We start from the raw sequence: 21230 nt of genomic DNA, 5'->3' as shown, positions 1-21230 counted from the left end.
ACTAGTTTTTAATGATAAAACATTAACCAAAGATTTAAAAATTTTAGATAAAAATCATTATGTAGGGTTTACATTAATATTAAATTTTGACTAAACTGCAAGGCTGACATGAATGTCAGCAAAAATTTGGGTCACTTCTCCTTTTACATCAGGAGTACTAGGTCATCAAGTTGTTTGTTTATTTTTGGTATGTGCCATCACTTTAAAATAGAGACTATGAGTTTGTGTGACTTTCTGTCTCCTGTAATCCTCATTTATCCTCCCCTGAAGTCTGGAAAGCTAATGATTATATAGGTTGTTTTTAAGTTTGGTATAATTCACTTAAGCATTAGGGGTAATTAAGAACTAAGGTAAGCATCCCTTCAAAACAAAGAATCAGCTTTGCTTACATTTTTTTAAATTCTATTTTAATATAGTAGTTTTTAGTGTACCTTTTGCCTGTTTAGGACAAATGCTATCCTATTTTGCCCCCATTAACATGCTTAAAGCAAAGTGAGTAACAAAATAAAAAAATAAGAAAAGAGGGTTCATTATTACTTTGTTGCTTTCTCATTTGCTTTCTGGAATCTTGTAACTTATTTTTGAAAATTTGATTAGAAAATGTGATTTTTCCAGGAAAACCTAATGTCTGTTCTATTTAGATTGATATGCCTGAAGATTTTCATCTGATATACAATAAAATTGAAGCATTATGGTGATGCTGGCTTCTGTAACATAAGATTTTCAGTAATTGATCTCATAAAATTCATTGATATGTAGGATTAAGTGGTTCAAAAGAGTGAACCTTTGTATTTCACCAGTCAAACGTTGGGGCGAGTATGATATAGATACAAGAGAAAGAGCTTTGGAGTTAGATATACTTGGATTTAGATTTCAGCTATATGCTTATTAGCTCTGGGACCTTGGGCTCTTGCCCTATTAGTGTTTTTCAACTTCCATTTCCTCATCTGTAAAATGGGCAAAATAATATACTAAAAGACAATTGTTAGGATTAAGTGATATAATGTATATTAAGTACAGAAACATATAATTTTAGTTTCAGTCACTGATGTTACAGACCTGAGGACTGAGGCCCTCAAAGTAAAATTATTTCCTCAAGGTCACACAGTAGCAGAACTGGAACCATAGAACTAATGAGTATTCTCTATGCAATGAAGCATTCCCAAAGTGAATTGTGAATATGCACATTTATTTCCAGTAGTGAGGACTTGACAATGTTTTGTTTTTGAAAGAAACAGCCTCATATTATCTATATACATAGTAGGGTGGAATTAAGCTGCTTTATGTGAAGTATTTTGTGATGTAAAGATTTTCAAGCTTCTTATATCATCTAATGTTGGCTTTTCTTTTTAGAATAAAAACAATATGTAAGATTATACAAGTTTGGTTAGCATACCTGACAAGGTAGCCACCGAAAACCATATGGTGTTGCTCTTTTCATGCAATATGTTCTGTGAATATAGCAGACTGCTCATTAGTCATAATTTAGCTGTCAGTAGACTACTGTATGAGCTCTGCCTTAACACTTTGTACAGACGAACCAGTGGATACTGTTTCTGAATTCTTTTCTGCCATCTCCCTGGGTTTACACTTTTTTAGGCTATTAACAATTCAAAACACTTGGTATACATTTCGGATTGATTTTTGCTTCCATCATAGTCATATGCTTTATGGTATGAATATTCTACTGCTTAACTTTTGAAGAGCAATGTCTATAACATCTTTGTGGTGATGAAAAATACTTTGGGGTAAAATAAATAAAGATGAAAATATTTTGAAATAAAAAAGGCACTCATTATTTGCAGTAAACAATTAAGCATAATATTAAGCTAAAGGAAAAATAAAAGTCATCTCTTTTAGGAATCATTTCAAAGATAATGTGAAAATTTAAGTGACTAGTTTTTAAATGTCATTAGAATTCTGTGAATACAATTTTTGGAAGTATTAACATCATGGAAGGAGAATAGACACTGGAACGGAGACATAGGTTTGCCTTCAAGCTCTGCCACTTACAAGTTGTATCAGTTAGTATGTCTTCCTCTTCAAATAACAGCAAATAACTTCCCTACTGGATTAAGCAACAACATTGATTTTTCCCACATAAAAGCAATTCCTGAGAGAGGCAAGTTTCAAGTTTAGATGGATTAACAACTCTATGATATAATTTGGAACCAGATACTTCCCATCCCTTCACTCTGCCAACCTTAATCTGAAAGCTTTGCTCCCCTGCTGATTCTACTTATTTTCTCTCGATGACTGTATCAGTTCCAGGAAATACATCCATTCCCAGCAACATCAAAGGCAGTCAGGAGTTTTCTTTACTAATATTTTCTACCTAAATTCCCTTCCTTTGCAGATCCCCTTCACAGATCACTGGAGAGAACTGAATCAATAGTGGGACCACATAATTGGAATTGAAATAAGTTCATTTTTGCTGAAATGGGAAAATAGAGAGACAAACAAACTTGAATAAAACTGGAAAAGAAAAACCCTGGAAGGACTTGTGTCAAAATAATAAGAATATTACAAGATTGAAGTAAGAGAGGGACATGATTATATTGGTGGTTTACAAAGATCTTTCTGGAAGCAGTATTTTGAAGAAAGTGTTAAGCATCATATCTTTTTCTGCAGAGAGAGCAGTTAGGAGATTTTTCAAGTGAAAAATTATGGCAAGGATTTAACTGGACTGGTTATACTGTGGAATGAAACAGAGCAGGTGATTTAGAGTTATCATTGTGTTAGAATCAGTAGGATTTGGTCAATGATTCAATGTGGGGCTAAAGGTGAGGAAAGGGTGACTCAGTGACTCAGATATTTGGATAGAACAACTAACAACTAGCTCTTTTTTTTTTTTTGAGACTGAGTCTCACTCTGTTGCCCAGGCTGAAGTGCAGTGGCGCGATCTCGGCTCACTGCAAGCTCCGCCTCCTAAGTTCACGCCATTCTCCTGCCTCAGCCTCCCGAATAGCTGGGACTACGGGCGCCCGCCACCAAGCCCTGGTTAATTTTTTTTTTTTTTTTTTGTATGTTTAGTACACACCGGGTTTCACTGTGTTAGCCAGGATGGTCTCCATCTCCTGACCTCGTGATCTGCCCGCCTCGGCCTCCCAAAGTGCTGGGATCACAGGCGTGAGCCACCGCGCCCAGCCAGAGCAACTAGTTATATGGCATTGCACTCGTTGAACTAGGGAACATGGGAGCACAATTTTTATTTTTACTTCTGTATAGAGAAGATACTTTGTTCATTTGGGGGCAGGCTGAATTTGGGGATGATTATATACCATAAATATGTTAAGAACCAGCAGTCAGTTTTACAAATTTACAGGAGTTTTAGGAGAGACAGATGGACAAACTAAATGGATTTATGTGATTATTTGTTAATATCAATATCATTTGTTAATATCATTTGTTAATCAAGAATTTTTGGTGTAGTGTGAGAAGTGAAGGAAATCTACAAAAATGAGGCATTGATCAAAATCGAGATTTGAAGGGATGGTACAGTAAGAATAGCTTATAAAGGAAAGAGAAAGAAGTAGCTAGAGAGGTAAGAAAACCACAGAAATCTGTTGTCACTGAAGATGAAAAGTGAGATTGTTTGTCTATCGTGATCATGACCAAATGCTGCCAAAAGATAAGGCAAATTAGGAGCTCAGAGCTACGCAATTATCACTAGTGAATTTAGTAACAGAAGTTTTAATAGAATAATGGGGATTGAAGCCAGATTATAATGGATTAGGTAAGGAATGAGGAAGATATGAGGAAATAATAGATAGGGGTGTTGACAATTCATTCAATAATTTGAGTTATGAAAAGGACAGAGATAGGACATTTACTGGATGGGAATGTGAGGTTTATTTTTGAATATATTTTAATGAAAATTTTTAGAAAATACTTTGTGGTTAATATACAAAAGGACTAGTTACCCAAATATAGGTTTGTCAGGTAATGTTGATGGCTCATTTGAGGTCATTTACTTAGAATGAAATCAGTCTCTGGTTGTGCAGTTTTTCTCAAGCTATGTTCAGCTGCCTTGGTTCATGTACAAACAAGGTAGATTCATTCCTGATTAGAGTCTTTGGATGTCCAGGGAAATAGGTGGTTGTAATAAAGTGATCTGATGTTTAGGTCTTAAGTAGAGGACTGACTTGGCTGCAGGAAACAATAAGCAGTGCTCATGGTCTGTTACTAAGGTCTCAGTTACTGCTTTATACATAAATTGCCTTGTAGAGCACCTGACATATAGTAAGCATTCACCAAGTTATTTCCCCATATTCATTCTTCTTTTCTCTAAAAAAGACTATGCATATGGATTGCTCAGAATTGTAAAATAAATACTCTTCCATTCATTGTCTGTGAAAATACAGTTGGCTATGGCTTCCTGCCTTCCAGTCAAGGGATGCCAGAAATCTACATAACACTTCTAAACCTATAACATAATTTTCCCCAAATTTACAAATCTAGTTTTCCAGTGGGAAACACATGTCCTCTTTCTCTGCACTCATTTTGTAAACTGTTCTTTGTTCCCTGCAGCAGTTGTCAAACTACAAAATTTAGCCTGAAAGCAAGAAATTACATCTGTGCTGAATGGGACCATGGAGAGAGGCTGGACAGCTGTATATCTGGGGTTTGTTCCCACAGATTAGTTAAATGTGTGTTATAATTGAATCCAGTAGCTTTTCTGATATTGTTAAATGAAAGTCAATAAGCAAGCATCCATCAAAAGCCTCTTGTATGCAATGTGACTTTGACTCAATGCCTTTAGAGAAAGAGAAGGCCATATAATCTGCTACTAACCCAAATTGTTCTCTTTTCATACTGTAGCGGAGGTTTAACTGACATTATAATTGTGTTTGTTAATGTGAAGATAATGGCAAAAACAGAAACAATATAAGTAAGAATATGACTTCTAATTGTCTATCTTCATGTCATCAAGGATCACACATTCTCTTAAGCCTTTGCCCACTGATGGTATATGGTGGGATCACATGTCCTTGATCTATCTTTTGACTCTTCAAAGTCTGAAAACACTTTCATTCCAATGTGTCTATTTCCTGGAGAATCTAATACATTTTCCTGCTCATAGTGACTTAAGTTGGCAAGATGTTAAGGATAAAGTAGTGGAGTCAAAGTGATACAGAACAAGTTAGAATGTTTGAAAGTTATAATCATTGAAGAACATATTTGTATTATTAACCTAAGCTAAACTTTAATTATTAGAATGTGTGAAGTTGAGGATTTAGGAATCTTCTTATTCATATTCCATTTTATTTATTTGCTCTTTGCTCTCCTTGAATCTCAACAAATATAATGAGTTAGCAATCTGCTTTTTCTGAAAGTGAATTTTCTAAAAGCTTTTCTCTGTTCAATAAAGCATTGAAATTGTTAATGTGTAGTAATACAATTAAAGCATACTAAAGACTATTTTGAATTAGTTTCTTTCATAATCTGTTATTTGGTTGGGCATTCAGTTAAGTGACTTTTCCTTATTAAAAAGTTCCTGTATTAGTATTTTTCCCTATACGTTAACTTTAGGAATTTGCAATTTAGTACATATTCATTAACCCCTTTAAAGTTATTTCTCCTGGATAATCAGCCTTCTTAATTACTGATTAAAATACCAATATCAACCAACATGTCCATCTTAATCATAATTATACAATGGCTCAGGGAAAAGTCACCTTGAAATCTGTCTCTCAGTTGAATGGTATGACTGTATTTTAAAATATAAATAATAGAATGAAAAAAATTTTCATAAAATTTCTGATATCTAATGTCTTCTAGAGTAACTGTGGCATCAAACATTTCCTCTAATTATATTCATTAGTGGGTTCTCCCAGACAAGTTTTAATTAAGTTGTACAATAAGATCAATACTCATGTATTCATTGCAATTTACGACAAGCATATATACTGTTCAGAACAATTTAATTACTGTAATTATAGCACAGAAGATACTTAGTGACTATGCTCTATTACTGCCAATCCCCTCTTTTTAATAAATTTGGTAATTGGGAAATTAACTTCTGAAAATTCACATTTATATATACCCTATGTCTAAACTTCTTTTTTTTTTTTTTTTTTTTTTTTGAGACAGAGTCTTGCTCTGTCGCCCAGGCTGGAGTGCAGTGGCACAATCTCAGCTCACTGCAAGCTCCGCCTCCCAGGTTCACACCATTCTCCTGCCTCAGCCTCATGAGTAGCTGGGACAACAGGCACCCACCACCACACCCGGCTAATTTTTTTGTATTTTTAGTAGAGATGGGGTTTCACCGTGTTAGCCAGGATGGTCTCAATCTCCTAACCTCATGATCCACCCGCCTCAGCCTCCCAAAGTGCTGGGATTACAGGCGTGAGCCACCATGCCTGGCAAACTTCTGTTTTTTATATAGCTATCTTTGATTTTTTGTTTTACTAGTAGGGAAAATGGAGGCATTGATTACAGTAGTGGCAAAGTGCTTTTTCATGCATATTGTCATGAATACTGAGAAATTATGGAAGCGTATATAAGAACACCTGTAATAATTATATCGGTTATGTGAAAGATAATTTAGTGGTGTTATATAGTCAGATATTCTGTTTTTATTTTTATAAATAAGACTAAAATATTTTATTACTTTAATTTTCTTAAATTGAAGTATTATTTTGGTTCAAAAAGAAGGCCCCCAAATATGCTAACTTCTGTTAAATTTCTACTTTCACAATTCTTTATCTGGTACATTGATAGATGAACAGATCATTCTACTGATATACCATATAAATAATTGTGAAAGTAGAAAATTTCTAGTGGCATCAATAGGTATATAACAGGGTTTCTTAACTTTGGTACCAGTGAAATTTTGGCCAGATAATTCTTTCCTGGGGAGGTTGACAGTACATTGTAGGATGTTTCACCACATACCTGACTTCTTCCCATTAAATGCCAGAAGCAAGTATTCATCCACTAATGAACTCAGAAAATAGATAAATGCCCCTAAATGTGTCCAGACATTATTATATCTCCATGTTGAGAACCACTGGTGTATGCTGATTAGCCACACCCTCCTGATCTTTCCACTGACCAGATTATTCATTCATAAGATAAACAGCTATTCAGCTCTTCTGAACTGAGGCTAGGTTCATAGGCGTGAGTCAAACATGGTGTTCTTATAAGAGAATTCTGTGCATTCAGTGTTTTAGAGATAGGAATTGAGTAGTCATAGAATATTAAGTAATAATACCTAACTCAGATTTAGGAAAGGGAAGATCAGAATAGTGTCCTGAAGAAGGAAGTTCCTGAAATACGTTTTGAAGGACAAAGGAAACGTTAGCAATTCAGAAGGTAAAAGAAAGATATGTATTTTAAAATTTGCACATACATTTTAGTTATTTTCTCTGAGAATCAAATCCTAATTTATTCTCCATTATATAAACAAAATCATAATATAATAATATGCAAATAATTGCTAAAATGCCTAATTTTACTCTTTTTCTCAATTTCCATTCTAGAAATGGGATGTGTAATTACCTTTTTAAGATTGTGAATTTTATGAAATCATTTGTTTCCAGAAGGACCACAATTTTAGGCAGTAGTGGGAAGATACATACATGTATTTCTTGTGAATTTCCTAGTCTATATACGAATAAAACTATTTGACCATATCACTGTAAGATTATAGAGATTCCTAATGTAGTTATTCTCATGTATTCTGCAGTGTATTCCGACATTGAGAACACTCAATAAATTATATTAACAGCCAAGCTAGTTTTTTGAGGTAATTCGTTTTGTCCAACACATACATATTTTCCAGGAAAAAAAAAAAAAGGTAAAAATGGTAATTTAGTTTAAACCTAATTCAAGTGCAGTTAACTGAATCTTGAAAAACCATCTGAAATTCTGTTGATAATACTTCATATTTCATATTAGTAAGAGGTCTACAAGGAATGCTGTGTTTCTCATGGTAGGCTGGTTATGAATTCCTGGAATTCCTATGCACATCAGTTTGCTGCCAAAGGATTAAGTTCAATTTGATTGCCGTCATTAGCACCCTTAGTTTGCTGATTTGCTCTACTTTGTCTCATCTACACAGATATGCTGCTGCTCAATATAAAAGGTGAATCAAATGAATCATTAAGATGAATAAACATAAAATTTAGGTTCTGCAACCCCTTGGTATTTAGTCATGTCTAGACACAGCCCTAGTGTCCCAGAAAAACTAAAATGAGGACAAGGGCATTTAAGTTTAATGTAGCCTTATTCCCATGGAAATCAGGAAAGCCAACCATAAAGTAAAAAGAAGAGTATGGATCTGTCTGAAAAATTAGATGTAGTGAGTGGCAGGATTTGCAAGGTCAGTGGGTATTAGAACAGTTTTTGTTTGTTTTTTAAAGAATAGTTTTTCAGTTAGATCACCATTCCTTTAAGAAATTAACAGTTCCACAAATTAATTATTATTCCTTAAAACCAGTATGATTTGAGTAGGTTAAAAATGATACAAACATTATATTGCATGCATTTGTATAGTTAATGAGCTCAGAAAATAGATGAATAAAGTATATTTAGCAACAACCTATATATGTGTATATATAGGTAATATTTAACATATTTGTTTTTCTACAGATTTTAAGTTATTGATTTATTTTAATGTTACTAACATTATTATATACTTTCAATGTGGTTTATAAGATATGCATGTTCCCAAACGTGCTTTTGTCTCATTAATTTTTGCTACTGTGAAATAAATGATGCATAATAATAGTTAAATGTACATAATTTCTCTAAGATGTAGAAAATTTCCTCAGTCATAATAATGTTATATTATCTTATAAAGTATTAAAACACATCCCAGCCTATCAACTGTTATTCCTTTAGTACTTTAGGCTTACACTTACACAAAGAATCATCCTTTTAGAAATGGTAGCATTTCAAGATACTGGCTTTTGAATACAGCTTAAGGAAGCCTCAATACCTCTACATAGGAATAACTCACGTGTTTCCCTTTCAGGTTCATATTCCAGGCTCATTCAAAGTTGTTCTGTTGCACAGGAGGCCAGGTAGAACCATGTGGGATAGGTATAATAGGTTGGAAAAATAATGATCTGTGATCCAGGGCTAAAGTATTTTGACTAGACAGTACCCTATAAGCTAGTTTGATTTCTCAGAGACAGTATGTAACACCATATGTATGATATGTATGAGTGTGTATGTGTGTGCATGGGGGTGTGTGTGTGTGTAGATACTCATAAATGGCTTCCTTTTGTAATGACGGTACTCAAACTTCCGTCCTGGAGTTTCTAAATATCTTGGGATTCCCATATATAATATATCTGACAGTTCTACATGAAACATCCTTTTTAGACTATGGTCATATCTAAGAAGAAGATATCTTTGGGAATGCCATGGATTCTTAAGTATATCAACTATCTCAAGAACTGCTACAATTTCCTTGTCTTGGTTAAGGGTGTGTAGATTTATTTCTTAATTAAACTTGCAATTTGGATTACAGATTTCTGTTAATATCACAAAAAATGTTACAATCTTGGGAATAGTTTATTGCTGTTTAATGTAAATTATTTGTTAATTGCTGCATAACAGCTTTCCAGAAGAAAATAAAATACATTTAGCTCCAATTTTATGGCTGCAGCTTAATCCCAAAACCTCGAGCTTTGTACAAGGCCACATGAAAGTTTCATTTTTGTGGGCTTACTTTTTGTCTTTTTTTTTCCTTATTAGCTTTTTTTTTAAATTTATTATTGTTTTGCAAGAAAAAAATTAGGGTAATGATTTGCTTTCAGAGAATTTTGCTGTGATTGTTCTTCAAATGTTTATTTAAAATCATTTGTTCTCCTGCATCAATATATTTTCTTTAAATTATACCCATTGTATTCATCATAATGAACACTTAATTTCAGTTATGTAAACAACATGCAATTTTAATAACACTATTAAAATAGAGATACAATATTCATGATAATATACATTTCACTGAGTTTTTTGTTCTTTTCTTTTCAGTGAATTTATTGGATTCACGCACTGTCATGGGGGACCTGGGATGGATTGCTTTTCCAAAAAATGGGGTAAGTTTTATGAAAGTTTTTCTAAAACTTAAGCTATGTGCGTAAGCATCTTGATACTTGTAACACAGGAATGAATATGTACTGGATGTATATGTTGTTAAGACAGGAGGTGCTATGTGTGTGTTGGATGGGGTGAGGGGACTTCAAATAACTCTAATCAAAAAAAGGAACACTAGGGAAGGGCTTTCAGTGACTGAAGAGTCAATATATTATTTCCTCTCTGAGTATTGTTCCACAAAGAGATGTGAAGTTTCCTTCAGCATTTAGGAAAAGTTCACATTAAAACAACAAAGAAACTTTCAGAATTAGTTTATATTAAAGATAAAAGTATTTTATTTGCTATTAATTTGCCATCATCCTGGCATATTGCACAGGAAATAAAATTTAACAGGTCTATGATCAGTGTTGATTCAACGCTGGGACCAATTTAATTTTTACTTCATTTACAGAATCAGGGAATAAAAAATATTATAAGAAATTCCTTTAAATGACATTGAGATAAAAAAAGATTCCAAGAAACTATTATAATATCATGTACACATGCAATTCATCTAGAAAATTGTGCACACTTATATTTTTAGATGATATCAAAGGTTAATTTTAGAGTAATCAAATATTATAACAAATTTGATTATAACAACCTAAAGAGGCAAAATTTTCATTTTCAAATTAATGAGTAAACCAGATGTGTGAATCAGTCCTTTACTAAGAAAGTTATTATGGAAATAACACATTGTATTAATTATTCTAATTCATAATAATTTGTATATTAACATCCTCATCTCAGTGGGCTTTTATGTTTTTCATCAATTTGGTATTTCTTTTTAGTTGTTAAAAGTTACAGATGTACTTAAAGACATAATATTAAGAAGGAATACTACTAGATTTTTAAGATAATAGAACATAAAGGTAAGGCAAAATAACAAAAAACAAACAAAAACATTGCATAACCCAGGTAGAGCCAGGCTCAAGATGATAACATGTATACTTTCAATGTGTTCCTCTTTTATCTTTCTTACACTCTTCCTTCTTCCCTGCACCATCACACTCTTTCTCTCATCTATCATCGCTCCATACAGATAAATGCCTGGCTAACATCTGTCTATGAGAACCTATACAGATATTTTGTATTCTCCCTTTTTTCATGTACCAAAAATAATCTATTGAATAAATATTTTAATTTTTTTTTCTTTCTGAGAGGATGGCTGATGTGCTGTGTTGAAATTAATTTTTTAGAATCCAGAGAAAATATATGAGATATTCTCTTTGAATTTAGTTTTGTGTTTTTCTCCTGTTTCCACTCAGACATTATTAAAATAGAGCCTTGGAAGAGCATATCTATGAGAGTATACGTATGGTGTTGTAGTTGCTGTTGCAACTATACATTTGAAGACAATTACTCAATTTTATACATGATTTCTATATGAAACAATTAATTGCTTTATAAAAACATAATCCTTCTGTATTGGGAGTGGGATTTTTTAAATTATTCTAACAACTTCATGCTGTCTTTTTTTTCTATTATTATTGTTAATATAGTGGTGTATTTGTTCTGTTTTTTAAACAATAAGGATCCTTTTCAAAATTCTTGTAATTATGTTGAGTAATGTTTCCTTCAACATAGTGTACCAGATGTTAATATTGAAGACAGGGAAGTTAATTTAGAGGGGCTTAATGAATGTATATTTGAGGGTGAAAAATGTGTATGGGATTCAGGTGTTATGTTTTGTATTGTATCACTCGAATGCAAAATGAAGGAAAAAATGTATTATATTTAAGGAAAATGAATGTTCAAGGTATATACAATGATAGTAAAAACATATAGACTTAAAATGTTTTTAGTTGGCTGTGCCATTTGTGATTAGATAAGCAACATAATCGTAGGTGAAATATAGATTATCAGAATGATGTACATAAAAACTGTGGAGTAATGAACTCCAATTTTTTTTTCAATAAATGCCACAAGAAAACTGGAAAAAAAATGTTCGAGTCAATTGTTTTGGAACTCTGGATTCAAACAACATCTTGGAGCAATATAGGGCATGCTTATTTAAGAAAAATGACTGAATCTTTTAAAGATAGCAAGGTTTGTGGCATTTTACTTGCTCCGTGTCCTTTCTGCCTCTCTAGCTCTGAGGTAGTCTTGAAAAGCCAAAATTCAGTCATCATGGTGAAAACCAGTAGCCTCGTAAGAACAGAAAGGAAGTAGGAGACTCTTCCCAGCCTCAATTTCAGAGAATTGTCTTTATTTGACATGTTTGAGAACTCTCTAGAAGACTACATTGTAAGACACTCTTGATTTCACCTGACTTAGAGCTCTTGAAGTATCTTTTTCTCAGCTGGGAATTTGTCAAAAAGAGAGGCAATTGTCTGATTTTTCTTCTGTGTGAGGGGCTAGATAAAATTTGGGACAAACAATAGGCTTGCCAACCAGAAAACTTAGGGAAAGCTGGAAACTGAGATGTCCACATTGATTTTAAAATGTCTCAATGAATTATTTGGAATTTATAAGGCCATGCACATGTGTAGGACTGTGTACATGCCCAAGGATGTAAGTATGCTCAGGAAAGACCTGAGAAAGACCTAAGGTTTTACTTGTGCACAAGCAGGAAGTGAAGGTTAAGGTAGGTCTTTAATTGCTTAGCTGAATATTGAAGGAATGTCCCAACATGCACACACAGACCCTCAGCGAAGTTGAGAACACTTACTGGTTTGAGATTAACAAAATATTCTGTCTAAGCAATACCTGGTATGTAAGCTAATAGAGAAATGACTTTGGCCGGGCGCAGTGGCTCACGCCTGTAATCCCAGCACTTTGGGAGGCCGAGGCGGGTGGATCACGAGGTCAGGAGATCGAGACCATCCTGGCTAACACGGGGACACCCTGTCTCTACTAAAAATACATAAAAATTAGCTGGGCGTGGTGGTGGGCGCCTGTAGTCCCAGCTACTCGGGAGGCTGAGGCAGGAGAATGGCTTGAACCCGGGAGGTGGAGCTTGCAGTGAGCCAAGATTGCGCCACTGCACTCCAGCCTGGGCGACAGAGCGAGACTCCGTCTCAAAAAAAAAAAAAAAAAAAAAGAAAAAACTGAGCAATGACTTCAATGTCTACACATGGCCATTGAAAAATACAGAGTTTACAGAATTATTTCAGAGAAGTCATTAAAGAAACAAACATTAACACACCCTGCAGAGTGGGGGAGAATCTAATTTTCAGAGTTGTCACATTACTTTATTTAATATGCCAGGTTTGCAATAACAAAAAACTATGAGAAATGCAAAGGCAAAAAGAACAAACACAATTATTAGACTTTGTACTGAAGATGCCCAGCTGTTAAAATATGTTGAAAGAAGTAAGGGAAAATATGTGTAAAGAACTAAAAGAAAATGTAAGAGCAATGTATAATTGAATTCAAAGTATCAATAAAGAGATAGAACCTCTTATAAATGAAAAATAAATTGGAGTTGAAAAGTATAAAAACAAATGAATTTGCAATACAGCCTTAACAGCAGATTTGAGCACAGAGAAGAAAGGATAAGCCCACTTGAAGATAGGACAACTGAGATAATCAAATCTGAGGAACAGAAAGAAAAATTAATGAACAGAAATAAACAGAAACTTAGAGATCGGTGGAAAGAACACAGATATAATGGGAGTCTCAGAAGAAGAGAGGCCAAATGGGTCAGAACAAATATTTGAAGTATTAATGGAAATAAAGTTCCCAAATTTGATGAGGAAACATTAATGCACACATTCAGGAAACTCAGCAAACATAAGCAGGATAAAGCTAGAGAGATTCACAGCTAGACACATCATAGTTAAACTGTCAAAAGCCAAAGAGGGAGAATTTCAAAAGTAGCAAGAGTCAAACATCTCACCTTGTATAAAAGATCCTCAGTACTTTGCACAGCTAATTTCTCACTAGAAATAATGGGGTCCAGAAGGCAAAGCGATGACCTCTTCAAAATGCAAGAAGAGAAAGACTGTGGAGCTAGAATTCAATATCCAGGAAAACTGCCTTTCAAAAATGAAGAAACTAACACATTCTCAAATAAGTAAAATCTGTGCAACTATAAATGATCAAAATAAATATTTTTACTACTGGAAATATAACTTTAGAAATAGGTTTTACACATATGCAACCTACATATTTTTTCTGAGAAAACTGCATCTTTATTTTCCTTTTATTCTGTCTACTTCATTTCCATAGGGAAACATAAACTGATTATTTGATTTCCCTCAAGTTTGAAAAATGTGTTTTAAGTAACAACAGTTAATTTTACAAGAGTTTGTTTATGGTATTGTTTTATGATTTGATGTCATGTTTTAATAATAAACACACAGTGCTGCTGTTTGCATTTATGCTTTCATAGATATGGCTTAAAATCATTTTATTTCAAATTCAAGTATGATTTGCATATTAACATTGTTTTAAAGAAATCAAGTATAATTTGAATCAGTAAGTGGCCTTAAATATTTGTTGTATACAATGTCTTACACCAGAGTCTGATTTATATAAAACTTGGGTAAGAGGAGGGTCCCTGTCCTTGAGTGAGTCTCATATAACTTAACCCTATTGCTCCATTCATTCAGGAAATATTTACCTGAATATTTCTTGTTTTTGAGACGGAGTTTCACTCTTGTTGCCCAGGCTGGAATGCAATGGCACGATCTCAACTCACCGCAACCTCCGCCTCCTGGGTTAAAGCAATTCTCCTGCCTCAGCCTTCCGAGTAGCTGGGATTACAGGCATGTGCCACCACACCCGGCTAATTTTGTATTTTATTAGTAGAGACGGGGTTTTTCCATGGTGGTCAGGCTGGTCTCGAACTCCCGACTTCAGGTGATACGCCTGCCTCGGTCTCCCAAAGTGCTAGGATTACAGGCATGAGCCACCGTGCCCAGTCTGCCTATTTACATATATCATGTAAATTATGAATTCTGTTCTAGAGATTGTTTTTTCTCTTATGCTACCAGAAAACTTACTTTGTTTTGTATTATTTACATATAGTTTCTTCCTCTAAATAGAATTCCTGATTTAAAGTGAATCAATCTTACTCAGATTTTTATCCCCAGTTGTGGAGATATTGCCTGGCATATTGCCTAATACAGATGATATAGTTAATAAATATATATTAAGTTGTATTGGTCCCTTGGGAATTCAAAATGCCTTATAAATAATAAAAAAGCAATTGTATGAATATTCAATTAAAAGTACTACACTTTCTTCACTTTTTTCAGAATATTCTTCTTAACTTTAGGCCTTAAGAATGGATATGTTTATTTCTTATACTGGTAAAAATGTCTACCTCAAATCTGGGCTTAAGAATTTGGCAAGAATTTAAGGGAAACACTATTATTCATTCCTCATAATCAGATACATGTACCATACATTTGTTAAAAACAATCATTGCACCTGCAATACTTTTCTGTATGTGTCCTCTTTATTACATTGTAAACTCAGACTTACTGTAATTATTTCATATTTGCCACTTTACAATGTTTCTAAAACTTGACTCAATTTCTGGCTTGTAATAGAACTTCAATAAATATTTATTGGAAGGATAACTTATTTTTTATTTATAAAATGGGGCATAAATTACTTACAGTTTTCTGATAAACACGGAATAAGTAAAACCTAGCAAAGAACTTGACACAGTGTTGGCAGTCAGTAAATATCCTTTCCTTGACCTTCTATTGCATTTCTATGTTAATGCTAAGAGAACCACCACTCCATAAGGTTTTGTTTGTTTTAGCATATACGTATATATATATATATATATATATATATATGCAAAACTCATATTTGTGTATATATATGAGTTCATTTTTAACAGACAAAATTTGAAGATTTCATATAAAATCTGAATTTCAAGTTTCTGTTAATTGGATATTTCAGGAAGCCAGAGGCAGGAGCCTTTCATAGCTTGAATAGTCCAAAGCTGAGTAAAACTGCCATATAGGAGAGTATGCAAATTCTCCTCTTTGACTTATTTACTACCCGACACTCCTCATTCATTTAAGTTACCAATCTGTGACAATGACAGCAATGAATAGTCATTTTTTTGATATTGCAGAAGCATCCACATTTTTTTTTGTTTGTTTCTGGAGGGACCTAACTGAAAAAAAAAAAAAAACTTTTCTGTGCATGCTGGCATGGTTTCTTTTTAGTCTTTGAGTACTTCCCCTTAATTAGGAAATGCCATTTGAATTTTGGCATCCATATGTATTTTTCAACTGTTACATATGTGACAGACAGTATTTATTTGTGTGTGTTTGTGTGTGTATATTTGTGTGCCTGTTGGTCTGCCTCATGATAGTAACTTTAACTCTCCTCTTTTTTCTTCTGGACATATCTAGCAGTACTATGTTACAGCAAATTTTATGCAAATTTGCTGCATTTATTCATTCAACAAATATTTATCAGGCTCCTAGTGTATTTCCCTCAGTCTTCTAGGCACTGGGGCTACAGCAGTGAAGTAAAACACCCCAAATTCCTCACATCCTAGAACTTAAGGGAGCATTATGGTCCTGAGAATGAAGAATCAAGGAGAAAAAGGCGGTAGATAATACATTTTCTTGTATTGTTCTTTCTTTTTATAGATGTGCAAAAGTGTCAGAGAGATGATGGTATTTGACCAAGGTCACTTAAGTAGTTAGCGACACACCTGGGAAGAGCACGTATTCTGTATTTGGCACATGCAGTGTCATATAGCTCTTTCTAATTCTATCTTGCTATGAAAAAATACACTTTCAGTATATAAATATACACCAACATTTAGTACTAATAATGACAATGCACAAAGGGACACTTAATATTCTGTTTGTAGATGAAAAAAAAAATGAGATTCAGTATGGGTAAGTGACTTTCCCAAGGCTTTGCATTTACTTGGAGACTGAGTCCATTTCAATCCCAGGTCATCCAACGTCCTGATTATTTAAAACCAGACATGAGCTACTCTAAATGGTTAGGTTTTCAGAGTAACGACCAGGTTCTGGCGGGTACCCAGATTTTACTTTATACCTACAAGAGTCCATGCTAAAGAGGGAATTCACCTCAAAGAGAAGTTTTAAAATGTCCAGAGTGGGTTGCATTCTATCCACTGTTAGACCATAAATGTTGAAACAACATATAGAACATAGCTACTCAAATTTCTGCAAGGTTTCACTTTCTCATTGAGTGTCAAACCTATGTTAGCAAATTCCAAACCTGAACATTAGAAAAAGATAAACAAAACCTTTAAGAACTAAATATCTTTCTTAAAAGGTAAAAGTCTTGTTTTATATAAATCTCATTTTAATTAAAATTATGAAAGCATTTAGAATCAATTTTAAAACTTCATAGAAATACACTAATCTCAGTTTTCTGATCAAATTACTTGGCGGAATAATAGTAAACCCAATAGACTCTGTAAAATAAATATTTCCTCACTTAAAGCTTTCCTCCCTCTTTATCTTTCTGCCCTTAAGCTATCAATCTCATTATTCATAGCTTCACTAGCCTATATGTACACAACCTAAAAATGTATTTTGTTTTTGCTTCCTTCTAATTACATTAGAGTTGTTTCAGTCAGCGTCTGGAACATTTTGTATTGATTAATTTATATAGTCTAAGCCTTTATGTGAACATAATCTTTCCCTGGAAATTTTTATCAAGTGTTTTCAAGGCTTATTCTTGTGAGAATAAAATTAATGGTTTGGTGTTTGCTTAGAACAGTTTGTGATCTCATGTCTTAGAAATTCCACTATTGCTCTTTTTTTTTCTGTAAGCTGTTGTTATGTAAGATCACAAGATACACCTGCCTCCTTTGCTTTGGTGGAACCAGTCTTCTCCCCACTGAGTTGTCTGTGCTTCCTCTAGCACACAATGGGGAAACCACTACATTCCCCTGAGCATCGGTTGTATTGCTAATTCTGCTTTGATTTTTGCTCTATTTTCTTCCTCCAGTCAAATAAAGAATATAAACATCATTTTAAATTTTTTTCTAATGCTGATCTTAAGAACTTTTAGGATCATTCATAATCATTTTTTCATTTGAAGACTTCAGATTATTGACTTAAGTGGTATTTGTACTAAAATGGAGACAAAGTAAGTTGCTCTGTGCCTGGAGGAGAAAGAAAAAGTAACCCTACATTGTAGATACTTCAAAACAGGAGTTTATGGCTTTTCTTGTTTTATTGTCGCTTTGTTCTGTTATTTCTTTGAGACTGAGAACCTTTGTGCTTACTTTTGAAGCTGGAAATAACTCAGGTTTTTACTCAAAATGGACTGTGAATACATTGTTAGTGTTTTATGTGTTTTCTCCTGAATCAAGAAGAACTTAAGCTGGATTTTCCATTCTGGTACTCAGATTTTGACAATAGTGTGCATGTTTGTGTTTGTGTGCGTGTTTTGTGTATAATTTCTTGTACCTCAAATTAAAGGCAAGAATAAGGAGAAGCATTTGAACTCTGCTGATCTCGTATTTTGTTGAGGATCACAGTGAGTTTTGCCAGAACCTTATTTTGGCTTTGCTTCCTACTGAAAGAAAGGAAAAATAATGACTAGCACAGAAGCCCACACTGAGCATGAAGGGGCTAATAAAGATTAAAGTAATGCTGAAGTGGGTAAAAAAAAGAGCACATTAGTGGATATAGAAAAGCTCTTTATTTGAACAGTGATAGACAATAATTCTAAAGGGAATGGATATTATAATATATAATGCAAATGCCAATATAATGAAGAACAAGCCTGATCCAAAGTAGCTTTGTATTCATTATTTTTTAGAAAAATAAAAAGCATACCCCATCTGTAAAATAATTAAGATAAATAATTTATGGAATTCAAGCTAGACATTAAGCATACACTGAAGTATAGAAGACAAAATATTTTGCATTTAGATTTCTCACATGGAAACAGCAATTATGAATAAGGTTCTTTAAAATGTTCTTCTCTGCTTCTGTATATAAGACAAGTATTGTATTTAGTCTTTGATATATACAAACACTTAAAATGAATTGATAATAGTCATAGCATATTCCTGCATAGTACGATTGAGATATACATGCATTATTTGTTCATTAGCTTCATTAGGTATCACTGTGTTTACCCTGGTTATATATGTAAAATCAATATAAATTAATGCCAATATTTTATTCTTTAGAAGTTCTCAAAACACTTTTCCTAATTAATAGAGAAACTCATAAATTGGAAAATGGCCTTTATCCATAATATCATCTTATTAATCTCTTTTTAACCCAACTGCAATTGGCTAGCTAAATGTCCTACCCTTTAGATTTAAGTATTACTTCCTCAAGAAAGTATGACATCCAGACAAACTCTGTTCCTCCTCGTTAGCAGTTCATGCAGTGAAATCCATCTCTTCTCCCCTCCATCCTAACCTCTATCTAATGTTTTTGCTCCAGATTACAACGTGTACAGGTGTGTTATCCACACTTATCACTTTGTCTAGTTTTGCATCCAATTGTTTATTATTCTGATTTTTTCTTCTTTAGATTGCTTTTTTCACTTGTTTGTAAAACAGGCGGGAAGCAAACATGTGAACAAAGAGTTTCGGGGCATTTATAGAGTCATATACAAGTTATTGTTACCTACTCCTGTGACATGAGGTACCTGTTAACAGACTTGTACCAGATGCATATTTCCCAGTATAATTTCCACAATCTCATATTGAGTCCAAATATTTTCCTTTTCCCCATTATGTATAGAGGGATATATAGGTCTCTGTCTAAGTGGTTCTCTGCCAAATGATATAGTCCATGCAAAACCCAGGCCTAAAGTTATTTTTCTTTTGAAAAAAAAATCTCCTGACATTGATATTTGCACCAGTTTCCGTATGTGAGTATAATTATTTTTGTTTTGTTTTTTCCTTCCATCTTCCCATTTATTAATGAAAATGTTAAATAAAACTAGGCCTTGCAGAGTTCCCTGGGGACAAATCACCAGGTATTTTTTCCAAGTGGTTTGATTGGTGTTTATCATGATCTTTTTTTTCCTATCATCCTTCAGCTGTTTTCAATTCCTGTGACAGTGCTCCCATGCAAGTCAATTTGAATTAATTTTGAAAGCAAATGCTTTATGGTTCTGAGTACATAATCTCCCTCTCCCACAGAGAAAAAATATACTGTAATCATCCCGCATTCCTGTTGATTATTTCCATTAAAGGCAGCAGGGGAAGAGAGACTCCTCTTGCTTTTGAAGTTTTTTGAGGCTTTTGCTATTCATTGCCTTATTCTCTCTCTCTTTTTTGTGTTGTTCAGTGCTTGCACTAATGGAGAAAATGACGTCCCAAACTGCTCAACCTGAAATTTTGGTCCTTTGGAGCCTAGCCATTGTTGTCTTTGTGATCCTATATCCCCCAATACTTTCCCTCTAATGAGCTCATTTCTTTCATCTTAACTCTACAAATGATTCATATAAATTTCTACTTCTGGTGTTTTCCACAAATTACTTGAAATACTTCTTACTCTCCATAAAATCCATCTTAATGATAATCATTTTTTCAAGGTACAGCTCAAGTTATACAACATGAAACCTCTCATTACCACCCAGAAGTGTGGATACTTCTTTGGATGAATCAATATAGCAATTATTGTATATTGAACACATTGAAAATTAGATATTTATAGTGTTATCGATTGTGTGAATACTGTAAACTGTTCTACTGTAAAGACCTTTTTGTCTTCACCTCTAGCAGATCACTCTATGCCTCAAATATAAATTTGCATTACCTATATCAGTTACTGATTGATAATCAGGTATTTAAATCTTTAGGAAGAAGGGATTGTTTGGAACCAAAAGGCTGCAGATTTTTTTTTTTTTTTTTTGCTGAAAATTGAACAGTGAAACAAAGATAGCAACCTTTGGATTTAGGAGTTTCTATTTATTTTGTATTGTACTAAGCTGAGCCAATAATACTTTACAACTTATTTTTACCAACAGTGCTTATGCCAAGCACAGAGATTATGGTGGTAAACAGGACTCAGTTTCTGTCCTCAAGTATTAAAAAACATCGGTTTGAATGATGTCTCCTAGAGTTGTGAAATATACAACCTGCACAAACATAAACACAACAATGGGGCTACTCCTCCATTGAGTTTGATCCAATTTACTAATGTATATAAATATTTGCATCCTTAATGGCAGTATAGTTAATATAGAGGTCTTGACATCAGCTA

At 33.7% G+C, this 21230-nt stretch overlaps 1 protein-coding gene across 13 annotated transcripts in view; it reads left to right on the top strand.

Annotated features, from left to right (window-relative positions):
- The window catches only part of EPHA5 (EPH receptor A5), a 350923-nt gene that overhangs the window by 17075 nt on the left and 312618 nt on the right, over positions 1-21230 (top strand). For all 13 annotated transcript variants that reach the window (NM_001437320.1, NM_001437321.1, NM_001437313.1 and 10 more), the window contains exon 2: positions 9988-10052. In NM_001437320.1, the coding sequence (NP_001424249.1) occupies positions 9988-10052 (65 nt within the window). The remainder of the gene's footprint in view (positions 1-9987; positions 10053-21230) is intronic.

Source organism: Homo sapiens, chromosome 4 (assembly GCF_000001405.40).
Source record: "Homo sapiens chromosome 4, GRCh38.p14 Primary Assembly".
Lineage (NCBI taxonomy): Eukaryota > Metazoa > Chordata > Mammalia > Primates > Hominidae > Homo > Homo sapiens.
This window is presented reverse-complemented; position numbering and strand designations above follow the sequence as displayed.